The following is a 26617-nucleotide window of genomic DNA, read 5'->3' as shown; positions in this document are numbered from 1 at the left end:
ATATAGTCAGTCTTGTGGTGAAGTAGGGTAAATATTCCAAATTTGCTCTACTTTTTCAATATTGCTTTGGCTATCCTAGGTCCTTTGCCTTTTCATATAAATTTTAAAATTATTTTGTCCAAGATAAAAGCTTGCTGGGATTTTATTTAGGATTGGTCAGTTTGGGAGAAGTGACATCTTAATGTTGAGTCTTCTAATTCATAAACATGTTATATCTCTTAATTTATTTAGGTCTTTAATTTCTCTCATCAACATTATATAGTTTCCAGTCTTTCATATCTTTCATTAAATTTATCCTTAAGTAGCTGAATTTTTATGCTACAATTACTATTTTGACATTTTCATTGTTAATTAATTGTTCATTGCTAACATATGGAATTATAATTTAATTATATCCTGCAACACTGCAAAAATAAATTATTAGTTCTACTTTTTTTTTAATCCCTTAGGAAACTCAAAGCAATCTACAGATTCAATGCAATCTCTATCAAAATACCAATGACATTCTTTACAGAAATAGAAAAAACAATCCTAAAACATATATGGAATCACAAAACTATCCTGAGCAAAAAGAATAAAAACTAGAGGAATCACGTTGCCTGACTTCAAATTATTCCACAGAGCTATTGTAACTAAAACAGCATGGTACTGGCATAAAACCAGACAAATAAACCAATGGAACTGAATAGAGAACCCAGAAACAAATCCACACACCCACAGAGAACTCATTTTTGACAAAGGTATCAAGAACATAAACAGGGAAGACAGTCTTTTCAATAAATGGTGCTGGGAAAATTGGATATCCATATGCAGAAAAATGAAACTAGACCCCTATCTTTTGCCATATACAAAAATAAAATCAAAATAGATTAAAGACTTAAATTTAAAACCTCAAACTATGGAACTACTACAAGAAAACATGGGGGAAGATCCTCAGGACACTGGTCAGAACAAAAATTTCTTGAGTAATACACCACAAGCACAGGTAACCAAAGTAAAAATGGACAAATGGGATCATATAAAGACAAAAATCTTCTGCACAGCAAAGGAAACAATCAACAAAGTGAGGAGACAACCCACAGAATTGGAGAAAATACTTGCAAACTACTCTCTGACAAGGAATTAATAGCCAGAATATATAGGCAGCTCAAACAACTCTATAGGAAAAATTCTAATAATCTGATTTTAAAATGGGCAAAAGATCTGAATAGACACTTCTCAAAAAAAGATATACACATGGCAAACAGTCATATGAAAAAGTGTTCAACATCATTGATCATCAGAGAAATGCAAATTGACACTACAATGAGATAGCATCTCACCCTAGTTAAAATGGCTTATATCCAAAAGACAGGCAGTAACAAATGCTGGCAAGGATGTAGAGAAAAGGAAACTCTTATACACTGTTGTTGGGAATGTAAATTAGTACAACCACTATGGAGAACAGTTTGGAGGTTCCTCAAGAAAACTAAAAATAGAACTACCATATGATCCAGCAATCCCACTGCTGGGTATATATACCCAAAAGAAAGTAAATCAGTATATCAAATAGATATTTGCATTCCCGTGTTTGTTGCAGCACTGTTCACTATAGCCAAAATTTGGAAGCAACCTATGAGTCCCTCGACAGATGAGTAGATAAAGAAAATGTGGTACAGATACACGATGAAGTACTATTCAGTCATAAAAAAAAGAATGAGATTCTGTCATTTGCAACAACATGACATGGATAGAACTGGAAATCATTACACTAACTGAAATAAGCCAGGCACAGAAAGACACACATTGAATGTTTTCACTTATTTGTGGGATCTAAAAATAAAAACAATTGAATTCATGGAGATAGAAAGTACAAAGATGGTTAACAGAGGCTGAGAAGAGTAGTGGGAGGGTAGGGGAGGGTGAAGATGGTTAATGGGTACAAAAAATAGTTAGAATGAATAAGACCTAGTATTGGATAACACAACAGGGTGACTATAGTCAATAATAATTTAATTGTACATTTTAAAAAAAACTAAAAGAGTATAATTAGATTGTTTGTAACACAAAGGATAAATGCTCAAGGGGATGGATACCCCATTTTATATGATATGATTATTATGCATTGTATGCCTGTATCAAAACATCTCATGTACCCCATAAATATATACACCTACTATGTACCCACAAAAATTAAAATAATTTTTTTTAAAGTTAAGAATTCCTTAGGAATTTCTCTGTACAAAATCATGTCACTTATAAGACAATTCTACATCTTCCTTCCCAATCTATATATCCTTTATTTCTTTTTCTTATATTATTGCTTTGTCTAAGACTCCAAGTTAAATGCTGAATAAAAGTTGTAAGAGAGACATCCTTGCCTTGTCTCCAATCTGTGGAGGAAGGCATTCAATCACCAATAAGTATGTCAGCCATAGGTTTTTTGTAGATGTTATTTGGCAGATTGAAAAAAGACTCTTCATTCCTAGTTTGCTGAGAGTTCTTATCTAGAACGGATGTTGGGATTTGTCAATTGCTTTTTCTACATCAAAATGACCTTATAATTTTTCTCCTTTAATAAGTTAATGTGGTAAATTATATTGATTTTTTAAATGTTATACAACCTTACATTCCTGAGATAAACCCTACTTTATCTTTTTCTTTATATTATGGGATTTTATTTGTTAATATTTTGTTAAGGATTTTTATCAAAGATTTAGTTATGATAATGAGAAACTTTGGTTTATAACTTTCTTTTCTATAATTTCCTTGTATGATTTTGGTATCAAGATAATTCTAGCCTCATAGAATGAGTTGGAAAGTATTCTCTAATATTCTATTTTCTAAAAGACTTGGTGTAGAATTGATATTATTTCTTCCTTAAATATTTGAAATAATTTGCCAGAGAAAACTAGCTGGGCCTAGATTTCTGTTTGTGGGAAGTTTTTTAAATTACAAACTCAATTTATTTAATGACTATAGGGTTTATATTTCCTATTTCTTCTTGGGTCCATTTTTTAAGTTATGTTTTTCAAGGAATTTGTCCCTTTCATCCAAATCATTGAATTAATTGTCATAAAGTTATTTATAATATGACTACATTATCCTTTTAAGGTCTGTAGGCTATTTAGTGATGTCCCTTCTTTTATTCTTCATAGTGGTAATTTGTATCTTCTGACCTTTTACCTTCATTAGTTTTCCTAGGTGTTTATCAATTTTATTAATCTTTTTAGCAAACCAATTTCAGTTTTTGCTGATTTTCTTGATTATTTGTCTCCTACTTTATTGCTTTCTACTCTGATTATGGTTTAGTTAACTCATCTCTTTTAGCTTTTTAAGGTGGAAGCAAAGGTCATTGATTTTATACCTTTCTTATTTTCTAATATGAGCATTTAAAGCTGTACATTTCCCTTTAAATTTTGTGTATGCCAAAGATTTTGATTTTCATCATTGTTATCAAATTTTGATTTTCATTATCAAAATATTTTCATTATCAGTAAATTTAAGATATTTTCTAAATTCCCTCATGATTTCTTCCGTGACTTGTGGTTTATTTAGTCATGTGTTGTTTAATTTCCAAACATTCGAATAATTTTTCTAGGTATCTTATTGTTATTGATTTCCACTTTACATTTCATTGTGTTCAGAGAATATACTTAGAAATTCAATCTAAGAAGTTTATGGAGACTTGTTTTATGATCCAGTTCATGATCTCTTTTGAGAAATGCTTCACATGCATTAGAGAAATATGTGTGTTTTGCTCCTGTTAGGTGGAGTAATCTAAAAATGTCAATTAGATCAGGTTATCAGCAGTGTTGTTCAACTCTTCCATATACTCAACTAGTTTTTCAGCCTATTAATTACTGAGAGAGGGTATATTAAATTCTTCAGCTATGATTGGATATGTATAATTTCCTTTAATTTTATCAATTTTTGCTTCATGTATTTTGGAACTTTGATATTAGGTACAAAAACTTTGGGGATGTTTATGTCTTCTTGATTAATTAAGCCCTTAATAGCATTCTGTTTCTTATATCTTTTTATCAACTTGAAGTCTACTTCACCTGATATTAGTTTCACCTGTTTTCTTATGCACAGTATTTGCAGGTTATCTTTTTCAAATACTTTACTTTCAACCTGTTTGTGTCTTTATATTTAAAGTGTATTTCTATAGTTGAGTCTTGCATTTTTATCCAGTCTGACAATTTCTGCCTTTTAATTGGGAAGGTCAGTCCCTTTATATTTAATGCAATTATTCATCTATTTTGATTTTAAACCAAATTTTGGTTTGGTTTTTATCTTCTATGCTCTTTGTTTTTATGTTCCTATTATTTTTAGGATGAAACGTATTTTTAGTATTTCATTTTAGCTCCTCTATTGACATTTTAGTCATGCCTCTGAATTATTTTTAGTGATTTCTCTAGTGACTGTAATCTTTATCTTTAATTCCTCACAGTTTGCTTTCAAAAAAATATTCTATTACTTCCATTTTCTTTCAGCCTACAGAACTCCTTTTAGCATCTCCTGGAGATGGCTTCTTTCTGGTTTTTTCTGCTTGAAAATATCTTCAATTCACTTTTATTTTTGAATGATATTTTTATTGGATATAGAATTATAGGTTGACAAGATCTTTTGTTTTTTCCGGTAGCATGCTGAAACTGACATACTTTATCCTTTGTTTTCAGCAATTTGACTGAATCTGCTTGGGATTCTCTAAGCTTCTTGATAAGGCATATATTTACTCTTTAGTTTTAGAAAATGTTTTATTCTTTTATCTTTGAATATTTCTTCTTTCATGTTTTCTCTCACCTTCTTCTAGGACTCTAATTATATATAAGACATTTGATATTATACCATAGAACTCAGATACTATTTTTTATTCTTTTTTCTTTGTTTCAGATTGGATCATTTCTATTGATGTGTCTTTAAGTTTTTTTCTCTTGTATCCAATCTTCTAATAATTTCATTGACAGCATTTTTCATGTCTGACATCATGTTTTCTATTTTTTAGCATTTCTATTTAGATCTTTTTTTATACTGTTTTCATACCTCTGCTGAAAATCCCCATGTTGCCTTTTTCCCACTGGATCCTTTAGCATATTTATCTTAGCTACTTTACAGTCCCTGTCTGATAATTGCAACATTTGGGCCAACTTTGATCGTTCTATTGACTATGTTGTGTCTTGACAAGTGATCATATCATTGTTCATTTGTTTGGGGGTGTGTATGTGTTTGGTAAGTTTATATTGAATGCAACACATTGTATGTAAAAAATAGTAGCAATGAGGCAAATACACCAAAAAATGGAGAATTGTCTTCCTCTATCAGTCTGTTGATGCAGGAAGCTGAATTAGTATCTAATCTGTATTTGAGCTGGGTTTGGACTGTGCTATTGTTTTAGTTACATTCAATGCACTACAATCTTCAGATTCTCTTACTGGTGGACTATTGCTGGCCCCCACTTAGCATGAAGCCTAGTGTAATAAAGAGTTTCTCTCAATTCTCCCGTACCACCTTAGACTTCAGCAGGCTCTGCACTGTAGAAGAGGTCTCTCAACATTCCTGCCCCTCTCCTACTGTTATACTACCATCTGGTGCCTAATGCAAGGCCCAGCATTCAGAAGGATTTATTTAGGCAGCCCTACATACCTGGGCCTTAGAGAGGATCACTCTTAACTCTCCTCTCTCTCCCCTACGTGACATTATCTCGCACTCAGTGCAGAACCTTGAGCTTGGGCAGGTTTCTGGCCCTCACCCAGTAGCAGATAACAGCTGCCTTATACTCGGTGCAAGATCCTGAGTAAGACCTGGTTTTCTGCCCCTTTCTCAGCAGCAGATAACCACTGACTCTTGCCCATGCATGGTCCATGAGGGTTTCTCTTGGTTTCCCTGCCCTAGCCTTAGTGTTGGGCAGGCCTTGTATACCTCTACCTCAGGCATGCACCTCCCAGAACTTCCAGTGGCAGATAACCTCTGCCTCTTACTCACAAAAGGTCATGAGCATGGGAGGGTTTTTATTAGTTCTCTTGCTACAGACTTAGGCAGGTCCTGCACCACAGAGAGTTGTCTATCCTTTTACTCTGCCCCCAATTTTTTTGTGTAAGCTCTCAGTGGAAGCCAAAGGACAAGAGTGAGACACCCTTTGTCTCTTTACAATAATTCTAAACCATTAGGCTAGCCCATACTTGGCTCTTAAAACATGATTACACTTTCAGTTGTTTTCTTCTTACTATCTCTGTTGGTTACCTCCTCCTCCTGCTGCTCTGCCCAGGGTAATATCCTCGGAGGGGCTGCTACTCTTTTGATTTTAGTTCATTAGATTACCTTGTGTCCTCAGGGCAGACCTAAAAATATGTGATTTTATAAACTGTCTGGTTTGTTTTACTGTTAGGGTGGAAGCAACATTCTCTTGCATTTTTATATTCTATGTGGAAACTCCCACTAAATATGAATATTAATAATAATCTCTCTCTTTTGGTATAAATTTATATGCCTTAAAACACACTTTTACTTTTTGTGCATTTATTCTTCTCTAATGAAATTGAAATGAAATCTCATCCTTCCCTCTTTGTCCCATAGCTCCTTGCATGTGGAGCTTAGTCACAGTAAGTAAGGTAAAAAGCTTGTGAACAATCAATCAAGGATTAGAATAACATTAGAATAATTATAATTACAAAGCAACAACAAAATTTGGTAGGGCACACAGCAGATAAAGCAGGTGTTTTATTTATGCATTATTTCATTTCTCAAAATTCAATGAGCTAGATGCTATTTTCTAGATGAGGAAATTTATGTTCAGAGAAATTAAATGACTTGCCCAAGACCACACAGCTAATAACTGGAGACACTGGGACTTGAACCCAAGCAGTCTACATTAAGGTTCACACTCTTAATCTCCATGTCATGAAGACATGAGTGAGGTGTTAAATGTTTACTTAAGCCAGATTTTCTTTCACTGATGATTTGACATCTGAGTTCTACTAATTCATATAGCTCTCCACGCATTCAGGGCCAAAGCAACACTCACATATTTTTTTTTCCCTCACACATCTTGCACAAGGAATTGCTGCTTCCAGACTTAATCTCACCAGAATACCTTTACATCATTCTGCTGTCTTCAGGAGGTCCCTCTCCCTAGGTTACCTGCTCAAAATAACAGGCAGAGGGCCAAGATTGGATGGAGGTTGCAGAGTATGGCAGCAAAGCAATGCCCTAAAGCATACAAATGACTCCTCGGGCAAATGCAGACAGGTGTGACTGTCCAGAGCCGACCTCTGAGGGGCTGGAGCCTCGACAGGTGGCCTGACTCCAGGAGAAAGTGGGGAGCCTTGGTGCACTGAGGGTCATCAGCTAATGCATCTGAATGGCGAAGTCATGATTTCAAGGGGGCAGAAGGGAAAATTCATCTAACTCCACTTACAATTCAGCAGCATAATTTCCCAGACACATTGTCTAGAAATAGTGTGAGCTCTTTTTGAAGCAGCCTCTTGACTGTTCAAAGAAAGACTTCCCCCAGTCATTTTTAAAACTAGAGACATTGTCATTAGGGGAGAAGAGATCAAAAGCACCTTAATCTCCTCTATCAGCAGGCCAGCTACTTACCAAGTCTGAGAATGTTCCCCATGTGCTGCTTCCTGAGTCTGCCCGATAGTCCTGGGATTGGTATCTTGGATCGTAAAAAACAGAAATATGGTTTTACTTATACAGGTCTCTATCTCTGGGAGATGCGTGGAATGATAACACAATGGCCCAATCGACTCTCACCCCAACGGCTGCTCAAGGGTATTTCCAAATTCATAATTGGGATAGCTGCGGTTGCTTTCTTTAAAGAGGGATCAAAACATTGAAATCCATCCAAGACCACTGCTATGTAACCTGAGAGCGGGCAGCATTCATTAATGGGACACGCACAAGGCACTTGCCCTCATGTTCTTAAATAAGATTCCTTCAACAATCCTCAGGGAAAAGAGGGCCCTATGTCTCCAAGTGCTCAAGAAGTCTCCTCTTGTATGAGAGGCTTACAATGCAGGCATACCTATCCAAGGCTGTCTCTTATACCACCAGGCTGCTGCAAATTAAGGGTGCATTAATAGAAGTATGCTTCTAAGAACACAGGAGGTAAGGCCTTTCTTGCTTCTATGGGTAAGTCGTACAAGGGTATATGGCATTCGATGTCCTTGCACTTTAAAGTGAACTTTGCCCAATTAGAAGGATCAGCACATGTGAGATTAGAGTGCAGCATAAAGAAGGTGTGAGTGTGAGTTAGAGTGTTAATCAACAGCAACTGAAATAAAAACACAACTAGGCTAAATTTGTTCAGACCTTACAACCATTCCATATGTCTTGGTCCCAGACCTCCTGTCACTCTAAGCACCCAGTGCTGCTGTTGACTAATACCCTAACTCACACTCACACTTTCTTTATTCTGCACTGTCATCTCACATGTGTTGATCCTTCTTCAACTAAACTGTGAGCTCCTTGAGGGCAAGGATGGTGGGTGATTAGTACACAGTGCCTGGCTTGCTCGAGACATATTTGTTGAATGAACAAATGAACAGACAGACAGACAAACAAAACGACTGCCTTGGGAGAATGAGACCTCAGATACTCATATCCATGGGATGAAGGGATGACCCTGGCCTGATCATGGAAGGGGTAATGAAATTCTGGCCTGCCTCCCAGAGAGATGCCAGAAGCAGAAGGATTAGGCTCTTCCAGAGTCTATAAGCAAGCTGCATGCCCACTATAGAAGCAAAGTCATATATGCCAAATGTGATGAAGCCAAAGATAGGCGTCAATGGGGTCAGGAAGCTGTGGAACCTCAGGCAAACCCAGGCCAGGCTGTGCCTCTGCTTCCTTTTGCTGTAAATGACTAAAATCACAGATAGCTCACCAGGTTGCTGGATGTATTAGTCCGCTCTTACACTGTTATAAAGACACTCCCCAAGACTGGGTAATTTATTTAAAAAAAAAAAAAAAAGAGGTTTAATTAACTCACAGTTCTGCATGACTGGGGAGGCCTCCGGAAACTTACAATCATGGTGGAAGGGGAAGCAGGCATGTCTTACATGGCGGCAAGGGAGAGAAAGCATGTGAGAGTGCAGGGAAAACTACCATTTATAAAATCATCAGATCTCATGAGAATTCACTCACTATCATGAGAATGGTATGGGGGAAACTGCCCCCATAATCCAATCACTTCTCCCCTGAACATGTGGGGATTAGAGGTCCCTCCCTTAACACATGGGGATTACAATTCGAGATGAGATTTGGGTGGGGACACAGAATCAAACCATATCACTGGAAGAAGCAAATAAAATGCTATCAGTAAAGGGCACATTAGAAACTATAAAGGGCCCTAAATGGGCAAGGAGAGAAGACAGAGACAACAGAGGTAAGTGGCATTCTAGAAGGAGAGAACAGTCTGGCCTAGGACATGAGTGGAAGGTTGCAGGGAAGAGTTCTGGGACTGGCTGGGCCCAAGAGCACCCAAGCCCTTCACTTGAGGGATGGCCACCAGGATGTCCTGGATGACATGAACCCAACCAGGAGGCTGGTGCCAAAGGGAGGCTGACAGCAAAGCAGGAAAGAAGGGAGCATCTCTGCACAGGGCCTGGCGGCACCTGTGTCATAATCTGCACACCCAGGACAGTAGGATGAAGCTACTGTCGCTGTACTGTTACCAACACAACACTGATAACATACCCAGTCCCTCATAATTGTAGTCACCTCTTGCTTTGGCCGCCAGGAGACTCACAGTCTAATCTGCAGCCTACCCTCAACAAAAGCACTGGATCCATAATGGCCTTTCTTCCTCCCTCCCCCACCCTACCCCTGCACCTTTCCTATTAGACTGTAAGCTCCAGGAGGGCAGGAACCATGGCTGTTTTTCTGTTCACTGCTGTATCTACAGAGCCAAGCACATGGTAAATCCTCAGTATCCTTGCTGAGTGACAAACCACACTCCTATTTTCTTACCCTTCCTTTCCATTTGCCCCAGGTTCTTCTTATTTAATGTTTGTCCTGCCGCAACATCAGTGTTTCTGAAAGCCACCACAGATCCTCTTTTGTACAAGGTGGGATATAAATAAATACATAAGGAAAAGAAGACATAACACATAAAGAATCCACGGATGCACAATTCCCCCAAGTAGCTTATATAACAGCATGGCTCTGCTGACCTGCCCCCACCCTTTCCAGAGGCAAGCGAGGCAGGTGCAGTTGCAGAAGACGCTGTTTCTAAAGTTCAGTTTTGTCCTTAGGAGGCCTTCCTACCGGGCTGCTCCCAGAGATTGTGTTACCGCCAGGCCCAGCTGAAAGGTTGCCTAGCAACACTCAGCAGCCTCCGCGCCTCTAAATCCCTAATTTGTGTCTTACATGTACACAGCGCAGTGCTAGCATGACCCCAAGCAGTAGACACCTCTACAAATCCCCATCTAAAATAGGCCTGATCTGCCTGCATTAGCAGAGTCTGAGGCCCAGAACCTCCTCCTCTTCCTGGCCTGTGACTTCTAGCCTGGACACATGGGTGCCCATGGAGCATAAGCACAGAGGCAGGCGCTTTGAGTCTTGATGCTACTGTGTCTGGTTTGCCAGGAAGAAGCAAGGAAAAGGAGATGAGCTTGAGCTTAAAGCCCATATAGTTTAAGCCCATGAAGATCCCATCACCCTATGAAGAGCCGCCTCATTGGAGATTTTCTGCTCTCAGGCAAACACTTTATTTTTCATCCAGAAGGGTCAAAAACATGCCAACGTGTAAATAAATGAAGTGTTGTTTAAGATCATGTCTAAACAGTGTGCAAAAATAAATATCCTCACTCTAAAGCAAGACAGTATACAATATCCATCTGTGGAAGCAGGAATACGAGGAGTAATTTGGGGGAAAATTGCTTTATGAGACCCAAATTTCACCTGTGGCTTCTCAGAAACCATGATAAAGAGCAAAGAACCCCTAACTCATAGACTTCCAAACAAGGCCCAGGGATGTGGACATGGGTTCTCATCCCTTCTTTCTGGCTCAAAGAAACCTTGCAGCAACCTCCTTGCTGCCAGTGACTGTAGATTTTACTGCAGCCTCTCCAACTGCTTCTCCCGCTTAACTACCAGGCAATTGTGAGCCACAGCACTGTCCACAGGAAAACACTCCTCTTTTCCATTTCACTGCAAGAGGAGGCCATGCTTTCTTGTACTGGGCCTAAAACCAGTCAACTCCATCTGGCCTCTGTCTCTAAGCCAAAAGTTAAAACTTTAAGCATTACGTACATAAAAAAAACAAAAGAACAATTTCAGTTCTTGTGTTAAATTACATTTTTGATAGTGAAATGAAAAACAGACGAGGAGAAGGGGTGAAATCAAGACACTGTGGAGCTGTGATGCTCAGTACAGAAGCCACTAGTCCCGTAGGCCTATCTAAGTTAAAATTAAAATTAAAATTAAATAGAAGTAAAAAATCTAGTCCTTCAGCTGCACGAGCCAGAGCGGGTATTTCAAAAGCTCAATAGACACACAGGACTAGGAGCCACTGTGTTGCACAGCTCAGATCTGAAGAACATTTCCATCACCACGGAAGGTTCTGATGGATAGCACTGCCCTGGATGAGCCCCCGAGTGGACCATGGGCACAGAGGTCCATCCCCAACATGGCGGTGCCTATCAAGAAGCCCTGATCATCACTTCAGAGCTGGGTCCTGAGTCTTCAGTCTCAGAAAAACCTCTACAGCCAAGGCCCAAACACTTCTGGGAATTTGCCCAGGATCCCCAGTGCAATGTCTCACCCAGACTTATCCTCTTATCTCAACAAAAGTTCCCTTGTGACTCATCTCCCAAGGCCACACTGTCACACTGCTCCAGGGGTGTAGCGAAAATGGTGCCCCACTGCCCCACCACCACCAAGGATACGTCCACCCAGGACCCATGAGCATGAACTTATTTGGAAAAATAAGTCTTTGCAGATATAATTAAGTTAAAGATCTCAGGATGAAGACCAGGCTGACTCAACCAGGTTGTTCCTAAACCTGATGACAAGAGCCTTTATAAGAAGAAGAGATGTCACAGAGCAGGAGGCCACATGAAGACAGAGGCAGAAACTAGAGTTACATAGTCACAAGCCACAGCATGCCAAGGACTGCCAGCAGCCTCCAGAAGCCACGAGCGAGAAGCAGGACAGATCACCCCGCACATCCTCCCGAAGGAGTCAACCCTGCCAACACCTGGGTTTTGAACTTCTGGCCTCCAGAACTCTGAGAGAATAAATTTCTGTTGTTTTAAGCCACTTGGTGTGTGGCAATTTGTTGCAGCAGGGCTAGGAAACTAATATAAGGGGTTAATGGCAAATTATGACTGAATGGGTTTGCTCTCCCAGGAGAGATGCATTCAGCATGGATGCCTGGCCTGTGACTTCCAGCCTGGACCCATGGGTCCCCACTGAGCATGAGCGCTGAGGCAGGCAAGCAGACGGAGCCTCGGGCCCCAGGGCCACCATTTGATCTGCACGTGCCAGGAGGAAGTACCTGATGGCAGTGGCAGAGTGCAGGATGTGGGAGCAGTGAGGCCTTTGCGGCACTCCTCAAAAGATGCTACAGAGATGGCTCTGGTGCCCCCCACCCAGTCTCTCCTGACCTTTCTCCCCTTGTGGCTCCCTCCTCCACACCATCCTGGGCCACTGTGCTCTGCCCTTTCTCGCTTCTCCTCTCCTGCTGATCTCATTCCTACTCTCATCCCAAGGCTCATCTCAAAACCCACCTCCTCCAGGAAGCCTCCTCGGACCACCCCATCCCAGCATGACAGCTGCATGCCACGGCAGAAGGAGCCCTGAGTTCCAGGCTTGGCCTAGCCATGCCCTCCCTATGAGACTCCCATCAATCTCTTCATTTCTTTCTAGGCCTCAGTATCCCCATCTGCAGCATGAGGGGTGAGGCTAGACCAGCTCTAGGATTTCCAGCTGTCACATAACACGCTCACCAATTTGCACCAGTATTCACCTTTTTTTTTGCCTGGCATGCAAGAGATGTCAAATAATAGCAATAAACATTATCTATTTATTTATTTTTTGAGACAAAGTCTGCTCTGTCACCCAGGCTAGAGTACACTGGCATGATCTCGGCTCACTGCAACCTCTGCCTCCCGGGTACCAGCGATTCTCGTGCCCAGCCTCTAGAGTAGCTGAGATTACAGGCGTGCACCACCACGCCTGGCTAATTTTTCTATTTTTAATAGAGATGGGGTTTTGCTATGTTGGCCAGGCTGGTCTTGAACTCCTGACCTCAGGTGATCCTCCCACCTCGGCCTCCCAAAGTGCTGGTATTACAGGTGTGAGCCACCACATCTGACCTAATAATATTAATTATGAAATAAAAACTAGCAATTATGAAGCTGATCATAATGCTAAATGCTTTATGTGTGTTATCACAATAGCATTTTTTTGGATGGATAGATGCATCGGAGGAGGGGAGAGGAGAGGAAAGTGGGAGGAGAGGCTGCACTCTAAACAGGTCTCAGACTCATGAAGGCAGAACCCTTGTTCCCCTGGCTGGTCCCAGCACTGAGCTTAACATGCCACAAGGGGCTCAACACATATGGGGAGGGACACCAAAGAACTTACAGAAAGGAGACCAGATTTAGGAAGTATCTTACTTTTGAACAGGGTCTGCCCTTTCTCAATGACCTATCCACCCCCACCTGCTCCTTTGAACTTCAGAAGCTTCTGAAAGGAATCAGAGCTTCAAAGTAAGGGACTGCCAACCATAACAGGATCGCTGCACAGATACTGACCAAGTTGGGTGCATCTCTGATTTTTTTCTCCAGCCCTCTTGCCTGAGCAATCTGACGCAGAGGCACATGAGGAATCAGCACGGAACCATCGACCCACAGGGTTAATCCCAATGTCAATACCTGCTAGATGTCAGGGATCCCCTGGGCTGCTGGCGAGCCATTTGAAATGACCCATCTCCTGCCACCTTGGCCTGCTCCTCTGGGCCACCTCTCTCCACCTGCACTTGCTTACCGTGAGTAACCTGACCCCAGTGGGCCCAACCCAGGTGTGTTAGTCCTGACAGGGCCAAGAGGCCAGGACAGCTGCTGCCTGGCCTCGTTCTCAGTACCCTGTGGAGAAGGGGCGGCTCACTGGCATTACCCCATCATTCCGGCACTAGGACACACGGCTGGCTTCCCTTGGGGCGGAACTGCTGGTTCCATGGGCACAAGGCAAACCCTGGGAGGTCCTAGCCGTTCCTAGCGCATCCGCTAAACGTAAGGCATTTGCTCTCCTTCTCCCCCACGCCCCCAGGGAAGACGGCAAGGCCACCGGTGCACTTCGCAGTGCCAGGAGAAAGGCGCCTCATGCTATTAGCTCAAATAAGGAAAATCATGCCGGGAAGATTGAATTTTCTGCAGACTTGTTTAACCTGGTGATTTCTGAGCACTTGGCGCTGGCAGCCACGGGGGAGTGGGCTGCCAGCCGGCACTTTATCAGCCACTTCTCAGGACTATTCCTAAGCTTATTAAATCAGCATGAGTCACTCCCTTGCCTTCCTCACAAGCATGAATCACGAATCATCAAAACCCAAGCAAAATGCATGACTCAATAGTTTCTTCGGGGCCTAAAGGGGCTAGCGAGCTGGCGGTAGGGTGTTGTCAACCCGAGACCTCCCCCCACCAACAAGCAGTACTTTCCAGGGAAGGCAAGGGGGCTGCCACAGGGCAAAAAGAAGAGCTCAGAGGAACTTTCAAATACCTTGCATGGGCTCAGAAACACGCAGACCTGGGCTCAACCACACACTCGCGCAGTTCTGCTGTATGCCAGGCACCTTGACAAACACACTAGAGGAGCCAGCAGAGAGCAGGACTAGCCATTCTCTGCCCCCGCGTTGCTTACAGTCTAGAGGGAAGTGTTTGAAGTAGTTGGGATCCTATTTTTATTTCCTTCCTAGCTAGGAAAAACTTGGACAAGTCATGTAACATCTCTGAGTCTCAGTTTCCCCATTCTAATGCCTGTTCACAGGGCTGTCCTAAGGATTAAAAGAGCTAATATACATCAAGTCCCTCACACAGTCCCTAGTGCATTGTACCTGCTCAACAAGCATTTGCCCTTTCACTGGAGAGAGAATGACCCGTGATGTCTTACAGAGTTCAGGGAATCCTCTGCCAATCCCCACCTACCCTCCCCTTTGCACCCAGACCTGAACTCTGGGCACCCCTGCAGCTGTGGCAGGAGAGGGCAGTTTGGTCCAGGGTTTCCTTCCTGGGACAACTGCTCCCTAGAGCCTCAGCACCAGTTTCAGGTCTTCCTTCCTGGTAACCCATGGCAACTTTTCTTTCTCTGCAGCCTTTCTCCTCTGGTCTTTTGGCCAACAGGTCCTGACCACACTTTCAGCTTCTGGTCCTCATCTTTCTCCAAAGAGCTAAAGACTGCAGTAAGCAGCTTCCTCCCTGCGGCCTGAGTCACCCTACCCTGCCCCTCCCTGCTCACTCTCCCAGAGCAAAAGAATTGAGTCTTCCACTTTAACCCCCACACCGGACTCCCCTACCTCTCCAAAAACAAACTTCTCTCCCAGACCCTCATTTTCCAGTCCCAGGACTGGAAACATCACCTTCAGGGCTGCCACATACAGGGCAAAGGCTGTGCACTGCCCAATAGGGTCAGGGAAGGTCACATACACTGACATGTGTGGGCACCCTCGGATTGAGCAATAAGGTGGCCCTGTGCCCGATGCATACATTGAACCTGCATTGTTGGCCAACATTTGCTGAAACCTTCTGCATGCCAGATCATCTCCTTTAATCCTCACAATCCTATCAGGCAGGAACTATCAACTCCCCCACACCCCTGAGAAAACTGAGATCAACACGCAGCGAATGCTGGAGCTGAGTGAGGTGCCTGAGCCAAGACCTGGAAGAGATGAAGGGTGAGACTGTCAGGTGGAGAAGCTGGGGTGTAGACAGCAGAATCGAAGAGGCTGTGGGAGCTAAGTCAGGGCAGGGACATTCCTGGGGCTTTGCCATCCTTCCTTCCCACCACTGGGGCTGGCCTCTGATGCTGGGAGCAACTTTATAAAAAGCAGACTCTCCTCACGACAGTAGGGAGGAGACTCTATCTACCCACCCCACTTAGGACAAAGAACTCTAGAAGAGGCCCTGTGTCCACAGGTGATAGCAGGGCTGCCCTAAGTGAAGGGGGACGTCCCTTTCTGGGGCCTCCACAGCCCAGTTGGAAACCCTCAGCCTAGAAACAATAGAACACAACAGACACAGTGACTGTGTTTGAGCCATTTCACTGTAACTTCATTTTCCTACTTTTATCTAGTCCCCAAACATTATATAATTTTTAAATGGAACAAAATTTTAGCAAATATCAAAGGTGGAACAAGTGGAGGCAGATGTGGAAAAGAAGAATGAAGAGGAAAAAAAGAGAGAACATATGAAGATTGAGAAGGTGAGGGCGAGAGGAAACCATCAGAGCTAAATGTGAGACTTTTTGCCATTTTCAGGCCCATCTTTCCCTCAGAGGAAACAGTGATAGCTCCCACAAGCAGAGAGTGGGAGCTGCGTGAGGCCTCACCATCATCTGCAACAGAGGTCAGAGACACAGCCCGGCCCCTCTAAACAGAAGAAGGGGGCAAGAAGAAAGGGTCTGGCCAAAACTGGGGACTCCAAGCCACCTGTTTGCCCATCAGGGTCCCAGACCACAGCTGCCACTTTGGGCTGAAACTCCAGGGGCTCCTTGACAACTCCTGCTTCTAAGGAAGCATCTGCTGGTGGCAAGTGCCCGCCACCCACTGAGCCTCCTCCAACAAGGAAATTGGGACCCAGACTCCTAAGGCTAATTCTGAGCCTGTCCCTGACCTTCTGCTCAGAGCAGCCACCTTCACAACAGAGAACCCTTTGGGGCTGACCAAACACTTGCCCTTGCGGGCCATCACGGGAGACTGAGAGGAGCTCCTACCAGCACACACACACCCATCACTGTAGGCCACTAACTTCACAGGAGAAAGAGCCTTGCCTGGGTCCCAAGCACAGACACATAGCCACAAATAGGGGTGACACAGTCAACAACTTTCCATCCCAGTCTGAATGAGGTCCAGCAAGGCCTTCTTCTAATGCCAGAACCAAGAGGGACCCGGAAGTGACAACTGTGTCATGGTAGCGGTCAATTACCCATGCTAGTAACACATCTGTGCTGGGTCTCAGGGTCACCCAGATGGTAGGGGGATTTATGGCCCAAACCTGACTTCCCAGAATTCAACGAATTCAGGAACAGAGAGAAGCAGAACCAGAAAGAGCTCTCTTCCAGGTCTCGCTGGGAGCCAGTATATTTTTGGAGGGCTTTGGCCTCGCCGGCTTGCTGTACTTTATTGCTGGCAGAAAGATGGGAAATTTATTACTTTACAAATCATACCCTTTGCAGCATAAATGAACTGTCTGGCTGCAGCACGCTCGAGCCTAGATGATTTGCGAAATGTCTAATGGTAAGCAGGGTTATGCTATCTGCTTACGGCCTCCGAGACAAAAGCAAGCCGTAAGGCAGAGCATCTGCACAGTGTAACTCTAGGCCAGCAAATTGGCTGAGACGCGTAAATGTTGGCTCAGCAGCATTACATAATTCGGTGCGCTCGGCCGGGGACTCAGAGGAGCACAGGGCAGCCCCTCAGCCCAGGGAGCCGGCTCTGACGGGGCTGTGCATGACAAGCGGGGCACCAGTGGAGTTCAGGGCCCAAGGTCAGGGTCAGGCCGAGCTCCACAGCCTGGCTAGTCCTGAGGCCTGCTAGTGATCAGAAGGCTGGGGCGGACCCCTGGGACTGCCACGGCAAGGCAGTGCTCTCTACATCCCTTCTGCTCCAAATTCCCCAAACCTGAGGTGAGGGGGATGGTCTTGAAATCATTACAGCCCCAGTGTGCAGACAGGAGCTGGTCAGCACCCACGGCCCATGGGGTGTTCCCTCTGGCCCGGCTGGCAAGAGGAGAGGACTGATCACAGGATCCATCATTACCACTGACAGGCTCATCCACCGCCTGTGATGCAGGATGTGACTAGAAGGGAAGGGAAGGCATGCCCATGTATACAGAAAACCGAGCAAGTCACTTGATCTCTCTGAGCTTCAGGGTCATGTGAGTGGTAGTGCAAGACCCGAAGTCAGGCTGTTAGGATCTTGCTCCTCATGTATCTATGCTTTACATGGCACTTAACGCTCATTATCATCATGAAGCACTCAGAACCACCCATGCAGTATGCATATCATCATCCCCATCTGACAGGTGAGCATATTGAGGCTCGGGAGAGTCATAGCACTTGACAAGGCTCATGCGGCTAGTGAGTGGCAGAGCCAGGATTCAAGCTCAGGATCTACTGGTTCTAAAGCTTCTGGGTTTTTTTTTTCACACAGCACTTCTCTGCCTCTCATAATCTAGGGTGTCATTTCACGGCCCCCCATCATCTCACACTGTGCCGTTTGCTGGACCGGGGGGTCCTCAAGTGAGGCCTTGAAGGTTGGACTACTGACCCAACATAAGCTCTGCTGGGCCCAGGCATGCAGTAGAGGTATTGACTCAGACAAACCTTCTGTTCTTCTTGGCTCAGGGACTTGGGTGAACTTCCCAGAAAGGAGAGGAGCCAGCAGAACTGGCCCACTTTCAGATGAGCCAAAGGACACTGCCTGAGTGCAGAGACAATCTTAAACTCAGGCTTAGGATGTACAACTGGGAAAAGGTCAACTGGTACTGCTTCTCAGCCTGGCAAAGTCTTTAGCTGAAGAGTAAAAACAAAAAAGCTTTCGAACCATTGATTTAAAAACAGGGAATGGTATTTTTAAACACTTTAACAAAACTGTCTTGTTACCATGGCTAACTTTGTGCCACTTGGCATTAAAAATAAAAGGCTGTTTACTGAATACCTATCCAAAAATAGCCTCACTTCTATTCACAGCCTTGTGAGACAAGCAGTTGGCCCCAATGATATCGTTCTCTCACTCACTCACCTAATACATCCATTCACCTATTCACGCCTTCAGCGAAGCTCTCTCTTCAATCCCAGCAACAGCCCAGCAGAAAGGGTCCTTGGGATTTTCAATTCTCTCCACGTCAAATGCCAAGTACAGATTAGACCCCATGATCTCTGGAGAAGCTTAAATTCAGCTAATGGACTTTTTATGGCATGTAAACTTTGCCCTCAGTAAGGAAGCCTGTTAGCCACATAAATAGTGCACACATGTCCACATGAAGCCCAGACTGCAGGAGGGTGACAGTACCCACTGTCAGCACCACAGCCACCAGCGGGATGAATGTTTTCCGGCATTCCAACCAAGGCCATTGGCGTGTCTCCGTCAGAACATTTTTGGCACATAACTAATACCTTGTATGACAGCTGCTCAGGAGAGGGTGAAGCAGGCATTCACTGCTAGGTCTGATCTCTTAAGAGAGCCCCTTAAGGCCCAGGAAGCTTGGCCTTGACCCAGGCAGGAAGCCACAAGGGGAATATTCTGGATATGAGCCTATGCCAGCTTGAGTCATTCCACACCCCCTGCTTCCAAGGGCCACGAAACTAAAGGAAGTTCTTTACCCTGCAGTCACATACTCCAGGAGGCTCTCGTGGCTCCCCTGACCCCAGGGGTACTCTTGTGGAAGCACAGGGAGAGGAAGGCAGAAACACTTCTGGGCCCAAGTTTCTGTGCTCTTCTAAGCCAAGTGCCAACACCAAAACAGGCAAAGACAAGAGACTTTTCTCTTGGCACATGCATAAAACACAGCCCCTATGCACTTGTCTTGCACACCCTTTTCTGATGGCAACCTCCCCCAGAACTTGCCTATGGCAACAGCAGCCACCAGGAAAGTGACCAGGGAGGACAAAGACTCTGAAGACACCTCTACATTCCTTTGATGAAACCAAGCAAGGCCATTTGCTCCACAGATCTCACTGTGGTTGAGGACACAAGAAACCAGTGCAACTCAAATGTTCCAGAAAGCAGTGCCTTGTCACATGCCTGGGGCCAGGGGCACCTGGAAGAAGCTAATAGAGGCATGGACCCCTCTCCCCAGAAAAGCTCACACAGCACAACACTCATCCAATGTCAAATGATTCCTAAGCCCCTGAAGCTTCACAGCGGTGCTCAGATTAAGAAACTCTGTCATGAAAATTCCTTAAAACAAGAAGATCAAGACAGCTAAGTAATCTCCAAACCTGCCATTACTCTCCTAGCACACTAAGCTCTGGGATGCACAAAGAAGGAACCATATCTATGGCCGTGAGAAGGCCCAAGAGCCCCTCTGCACCCACATAGAGTCTCTGACTTCATGCTTGAAATGGAAATGAGGACTCTAGCTCATGAATCTCCTAGTTTTCTAGCTCTGTTTCCCTGCCTGCACATGACTATCTGGCCAGCTCTCCGTGATGGAGATACTTCTGCCAGGCTTCAGCTTCTCAGAAGATTCTGCCTCAACAGACATCTGTATTGATCATGGCCACCACCTGCCGGCCCCACCCCTGGCCCACTGACAACATGCCTTGTATGTTTCCTCTCCCATCTGCTACCTGTGGCACCAATCTATGGGCTATCATGGACCTTTGAGTTGGGCCAATCAGATTCCCTGATTGAGTGAGGAAATTCCAGGAGAACCACAGTGCAGCAGCAGATAAAGCCAAAACATCATGATGCTTCCAAAAGCTGGCAGCCTCTGGTTCTTTCTAGGTTGAAGAGACAGGAGCCAAGGAATAAAGAAATCCATGCAGAGGAGATGGTGAGAGCCATCCACCATTAGATGGAGACAGGTTGGCATAGGGAGTGGCTGAGCCCCCATCTCCTGCCCCTGGGACCCAGAGGTACCATGATCCAGAACTCACCTCCCATGGCCTGAGCTGAACTGGGCCATGGGGGCACTGAAAGCCAGGGAGAGTCCATCAAATGTGTCTCCTTTGATTGAGGTCTTTGAACCCCAAAGAGCCTCTCCAGGAAAGGAGACAGGCTAAAGAGAGCCAACTCGTGCAGTAGGGAGGGCTGTCTGGAGCATGGCCCAGCATCCTAACCCTCTGGGAAACTTCTAACTGCAGATATCTACACCCCATCCAAGGGCAATTGATTGGAGTGGAGCTGTCCGTGCACAGGTTTATAAGCTCCCCGGGTGCTCAGGATGCTAGGCAGGATTAACTTGGGCCACATACCCCCTTGCCTGCCTCACCAAAATGGAATCCCCAGTGTGTAGATGGCAGAGAACAGAGTGTGGGGAGCGCTGCTGTCTTCCAGTTCCATATCAGCCTGGCAAAACCTGTTCTCTTCTCTTGTGGGCTTCCAAATGCCACCCAGCCTCCTCCAGGAAGCCTACCCTCCTTATCTGAGTCCCATCTTCCTCATGCCCTAGATAACCACTGTCCCCTGCGGTTTTAGCCTATATCACATGTGGAACCTTTTTGGGGAGCTCCTGGCCTGCGGGAGAGAGGCCTGTGTCCTCTAAGGTGTGAAGCTGTCCCTAGGCTTCCACTGAGCTCTGCTCTAGGTTAGGCCTGGCTGAGGGCTGTGTGGGCGGGGCTGGAGGTGGGAGAAGGACTGGCTTGCTGTTGCTCTTTTGCATCTCTCGCGGGCTCTGTGGAGGGTGCACCAGTGGAGTGGAGACAGGCTCAGAAGGTATTCATTGGCAGAAGCAAGACATGCAGGAGAGTGAGTGGAGCAGGGAGGGGAACCGGCATGATTCAAGCTAACCCTTCATACCCCTTCTTTCTTAGTATAAGGCACTCCGAAAGTAGGTATGGGAGAGGCAGGAGTGAGAGAAGAGGAGGGAGGAGTCGTTCTGAAGCTCCTTCCAACCCAGGCAGGAGGCCGGCTCTCTCAGGCTCCAGTGCCAGCTACCGGCCTGTTTGCCACAGTTCCAAGCAATCTGGTGCAGCTGGAAGAGTGCAGGCATGGAGAAGGCCATATCATGCAAAATGTGCATTTGATCAAGGTTGAAAACATGGTGTAACATGAGTTCTCCTGATCTACTGGATTTCTACAAAAGAGCCCTGAACTGCTCAGTCAAGTTCAACCTCAGGTCTCGGGAAAAATGAGTTTGTTAATTCAAGCAATTCCCCAGTGGTCAGTAGTTTATACCACATGCTTTGAAACAATGTGGCCTAAGTCAGGGGAGAAGTTGAATTACTTCCTAGGGGAGAGCCAAGGACTATCTGTTAACCTTGACAGGCCCTGCAGCCTCCTGCGCTGGCTGGCTGGGCTCTCTGCAAGCCCCTTCCCATGAGGCTGGGGGGAGGGCTCCAGCTCCATGGCTTGCACATTGCTGCGGAACAGCCCCCTTATTCAGAGAACGATAGCTTTCCTACCATCCCCCTCCTCGCAGGCTGGAGGGCTGGGGTCTGCCGTCACCTGCCTCTCAAGAAACCTGTGCCTCCAGCAGCCACCGGGATCCACTGGGACTGTGACCCTCCTGCCAAGAAGACCCAGGAAAAGCCTGCTGGCCACTGTCGATGAGAGGCAGGCTCCCACCTGCAGGTCAGTCTCAGGCAGGAAGTTGTGGGGAAGATCCTTTTAAGAGAAGATTAATTATTGCCAAAGGCTCTAGGGCACCTGGTAAATTGCATTCCTTCATCCAGTGAATATCTATTGGACATCCATCATGTGCCAGCTTCACCACACTAACCCATAGGGCCTCCTGGATAGCAAAGTGTGGACCTGGGAGAACACACAGAGGATGACAATAATCACCACCAACACCTACTGATGTACCCTTTAAGGCCCTTCACGTGGATTAGCTATTTAATCCTCACAACAATCCCTGAGCAAGTACAGCCGCTATCCCATTGCACAGATGAGGAAACTGAGGCACCTGCCCAAGGTCACCCAGCTGCTAAGCGGTGCTATGGCGATTTGGACTCAGGAGGCTGGCTCCAGGGCCTTTGCCCTTTATCACCTCTCCATCACCATTCTCATTATCATTACAACAAAAGCATTCAAACTCCCTGCTTCTCTGTCCCAGGCAGGAGTACCTGGCACCCAGGAAGTGGTATTCTTAGGGTAAATCCAGGGTCTGAGTCCAGAGCCCCCACCATTGGCCTCCCTGCGCTGCCTCTCAGTGGAGTTCAGACGAGTTATTTCATTTCTCAGCTTCTGTTTCCCTTACTTTCAAAAGGCAATAGTAATTACCCATAGGGTTCTTGAGGTAATTAAATGAAATAATGGATAATAAAGGGTTTGGCATGGTGTCTGCAAATAAGAACCTACTAAGTCGGCTGCTCTTTAATTTATAATTATTAATAACATTATTGCATTAATAGGTGATACATGAAATTCCAGCATATAGAATCCCTGATCAGGCCAAATCTGGGGGAAAAGAACCATATCCGTAACACTTTCATGATCATAACATTATTCTTTCCAACTTTGGGCTGATCAGGGTTTATAAGGGCTCCCATTTCACCTTTTACCAAAAGAAAATATCTTTCCTTTCCATCACGATCAACTGTCCAATGCTCTCCTTTTCTTCCATCCTTCTCCCTCCTCACATCCCCATTGTGACCCCAAGCATAAGCACCAGGGCCACCAGGTGTTAAGCAACAGAAGCTGCCACTATAAACAAGACGGGGAAAAAGAAACGCTTGCCACTTTTCAGGGATTTCAGCATCAAAACCCCCGATGAACTTGATCTTTTTTGGCAGGGTGTTCACTTTGTGGCTCCTTCCAATAAGTCAAGCAAGATGGAAACATTCGAGCGATGCAAGGCAGCGCTACTTGGGGAAAGAGACACTGGTATGCCACATCAGCGAGGACCACCAGGAAAGACGATTCCTTTCCAAATTCCAAGCCTCAACAAAAGCGACCACAGCAGTCCAGACTCCTGTCTCTAATCCCTACTTCCCCATGTGGACAAAGAGTGGGGCTCTTTTGGCCTGAGCTCATGGGGTTTCACATCAGCCCAGCAGGACAGAATGCATCCCTCCTGACAGCCAGGCACAGGCTGGGGACCAGAGAGACCCAGCTGGCTCCACAGGGCAGGGCTGACACAGAGCCAGGGGAGGGTTGTGGCGGCCCACACTGCATGTCTCTACAAGGTGAAGGAACTCCTTGTGTTGGCTGCTGAGCTGAGAGGTCACAGCTCTGCCTCACAGCACCCTGGCCAAGTTTTCCATGAAATCATCCAAAGCCAACAGGAGTTCCGGGAACCATCCATCTGGAGCTGCAGCTTCCTCCCTGGCTGTGGGGATCTTCAGATCCCTTGGGCCTGGGATAAGTCCACTCTCCACACATGTAGGGGAAACATGCCAGAGGGCCAGCCCTTGTTCCCAGACACGGCCCTGGCCCCTAGCAAGCCTGCTCAGACACAGGGGGATGGTTACAGCAGACCTACCTAGCTGGCTAATGTCTCCCTAGTAGCCAATTAATTGCAGCATTCACTGAGGGACTAGGCAGTCATGCAGAGGCCAAGCTCTAAAGGGCACCCACCCCAGCCTGTCCCCCAACAACCCAGACACACAGACCCACAGCTACATCCCTGTGCAAATGCCATAATCCCAGCTTGGCTGCACGAACATGCGCACCTCTCCCATCCATGGCAGCGGGCCCAAAGGGCAGGCAACAGGCAGAAAGCAGCTGGACACTAGGGGTAAGCTGAGGAAGACCAGCCCTCGGCCCCTTCCTCTCTACACAGAGTGGTGGGGAGACAAGGAGGAGCGAGGGATACTGACCCGGGCCTGAGGAACACCTGACCCAGCAGCACAGAACAGAGATGAGAAATGGGCCCCATTTCCATCCCCCAAATCCTTCAAGATGACCACTGAAGCTGCAAAAAATCAATTTTCTGCAGCTTCTTCGGAAGCCAGGATTTATTTTCTGTGTGTGCAGAGCTATTGGCTCAGCTGTTTCCCATCAGCTTCCTGCATGCTTCCAGGCAGAGCACAGCCCACTGCCTCCCTCTCCTTCTTCCTCCCGCAATGCTCAAACCCACACCCAAGGTAGACCCCTAGGAAAAGCAGAGGGTCTTGACTTGGGAAAATCAAGCCACGTGTCAGGAGTTCACCCCTGGATATCACCACCTCATGTTTCCAGAGTCCCCAGTCACTTGCAAAGGACCTCACACATGCCCCGGCTAGGAGACAAGGCTAAAGCCTGTGGAGTCAGAGGACGAGAGAGAGAGAGAGAGAGAGAGAGAAGGGGCAGGACAGAAGAGCCGCTGGACCCCAGATTCACAGGGCACAAATGCATTCTCTAGGTGGTAACATCAGAGCCACCACTTCTCAGTGTCAGTCCATATTTACTGAGTGCCGACTGCCCGGGACCCTGTGCCAGAGCTGCGCCCCAACCCCATCCATCCCGAGCTTCATGATAATAACATTATTCTTTCCAACTTTGGGCTGATCAGGGTTTATAAGGGCTCCCACTTCACTTTTTACCAAAAGAAAATATCTTTCCTTTGCATCACGATCAACTGTTCAATGTTCCCCTCCCACAGGGGTCCTCTTCCCTGACCTATGTAGTCAGGCCCCTGACAGTAGTGACCATGGACTGAGATGCATGGGCAACACCTGTCACACATACACGCAGTGGTGTTCAGCAAGGGACACTGCAGACCTAGTCAAACCCCTGGGGGCACCTTTAGTGAAGGCTTTGTGCCTCACTTTCTCTCCACAGTCATTCTTGGCAAATCCTGGCACGGTCTGCGTTTGCTCTCGATCAGTGCTCTCAAGGTGTGGTCCCTGGACCAGCAACATCAGCATCATCTGGGAACCTTGGTGAACTGCATTCTCATGCCCCACCCCAGGTCTCCTGAATCAGAAATCCTGGGGTGGAGCTCAGCAGTCTGTGTTTTAACAAGCCCTCTAGGTGATTCTGCTCAAGGTTGAGAACCACCGCTCTATGCGCCCATGTTGTGGGGGGAACAGGCTGCAGGTGGGGGGAGGGGTGCCCCCCGGCTCCTCCCTCTGCCCTCCCTCAGCCAAGGTGCTATGCCGACCTGTCAGCTCACAAGCCTGAGGGAAGCCTTCTGCCCCCCAGGCTTCTCCTCTGTCTGGATCTGGGGTCCTCCTAGGCCCCCACACTAGGCTAGCTACCCCACCTCTTGCTGCAGGCTCCCAAACCCCCATGTGCTGACGAATATAAAATCTTCATTCTCAGCATAATTGAAACATACAACATGCACTGATCACATGCCCGTCTCAGGGGTCTTTGCACTTCCTGCTTCCTAAGCTAAAACCCGCTTCCCCAACTGGTGTGCTCCACTCCCTTGCCTCACACAGGTCTCTGAGTAAATGTCACCTCTTCAGACAGGCCCACCCAGACCACCTCGCCTAAGGGGAATGCCTCTTTTGCTCCATCTTCTTACCCAGCTAACTTTTCCTTCATCTCCACCGAATATTTTGTTGTATATCTACTAATTTGTTTGTGGGGTTTTGGTTTGTTCAGGGTTCTTTTTGTTTTGGGGGCTATTTCCGCCTCTAGGTGGTAGACTCTACGAGGGCAGAGCTTTCTTCATCTTTACTCACTGCTGCATCCTCCCTGCCTAGAACATGCCTGTCACGGAGCAGGAGCTCAGGCAATATATCCCGGGTAAATGAATGGATATGTATATAGAAACAAAAATTAGTGCAATCCACTCCTTGTATTTATCACCCTTGAACACATAAAAGCCAAAGCAAATTTGGAAATAAAATACAAACAAAACTACCAATAAAATTA

General features: G+C 45.7%; 2 long non-coding RNA genes across 2 annotated transcripts in view, besides 2 other annotated features; one reads left to right on the top strand and one right to left on the bottom strand.

Moving 5' to 3' along the window:
- PITX1-AS1 (PITX1 antisense RNA 1) overlaps positions 1-26617 on the bottom strand; it is a 311407-nt gene that overhangs the window by 83087 nt on the left and 201703 nt on the right. The gene's annotated exons all lie outside the window — the stretch shown is intronic.
- Positions 13417-25360, top strand: LINC02900 (long intergenic non-protein coding RNA 2900). The gene is made up of 4 exons (NR_037895.1): positions 13417-13468; positions 13782-13981; positions 22290-22441; positions 23605-25360. It is a non-coding gene; the product is annotated as a long intergenic non-protein coding RNA 2900 (long non-coding RNA).
- Positions 13768-14967: an enhancer, noted in NCBI's record as "CDK7 strongly-dependent group 2 enhancer chr5:134582317-134583516 (GRCh37/hg19 assembly coordinates)". NCBI's record gives its function as "activates an origin of replication core promoter dependent on BRD2, BRD4, P300/CBP, MED14 and CDK7 cofactors, with strong dependence on CDK7, by STARR-seq in HCT116 cells {active_cell/tissue: HCT116}" and the evidence as "EXISTENCE:reporter gene assay evidence [ECO:0000049][PMID:35650434]".
- Positions 21968-22774: an enhancer, noted in NCBI's record as "H3K4me1 hESC enhancer chr5:134574510-134575316 (GRCh37/hg19 assembly coordinates)". NCBI's record gives its function as "activates a minimal SCP1, AML or CMV promoter by ChIP-STARR-seq in naive H9 embryonic stem cells {active_cell/tissue: H9 hESC(naive)}" and the evidence as "EXISTENCE:reporter gene assay evidence [ECO:0000049][PMID:30033119]".

The sequence above is a fragment of the Homo sapiens genome, chromosome 5, assembly GCF_000001405.40.
Source record: "Homo sapiens chromosome 5, GRCh38.p14 Primary Assembly".
Lineage (NCBI taxonomy): Eukaryota > Metazoa > Chordata > Mammalia > Primates > Hominidae > Homo > Homo sapiens.
The sequence above is the reverse complement of the archived record's forward strand: the minus strand, read 5'-3'. Positions and strand labels throughout refer to the sequence as shown.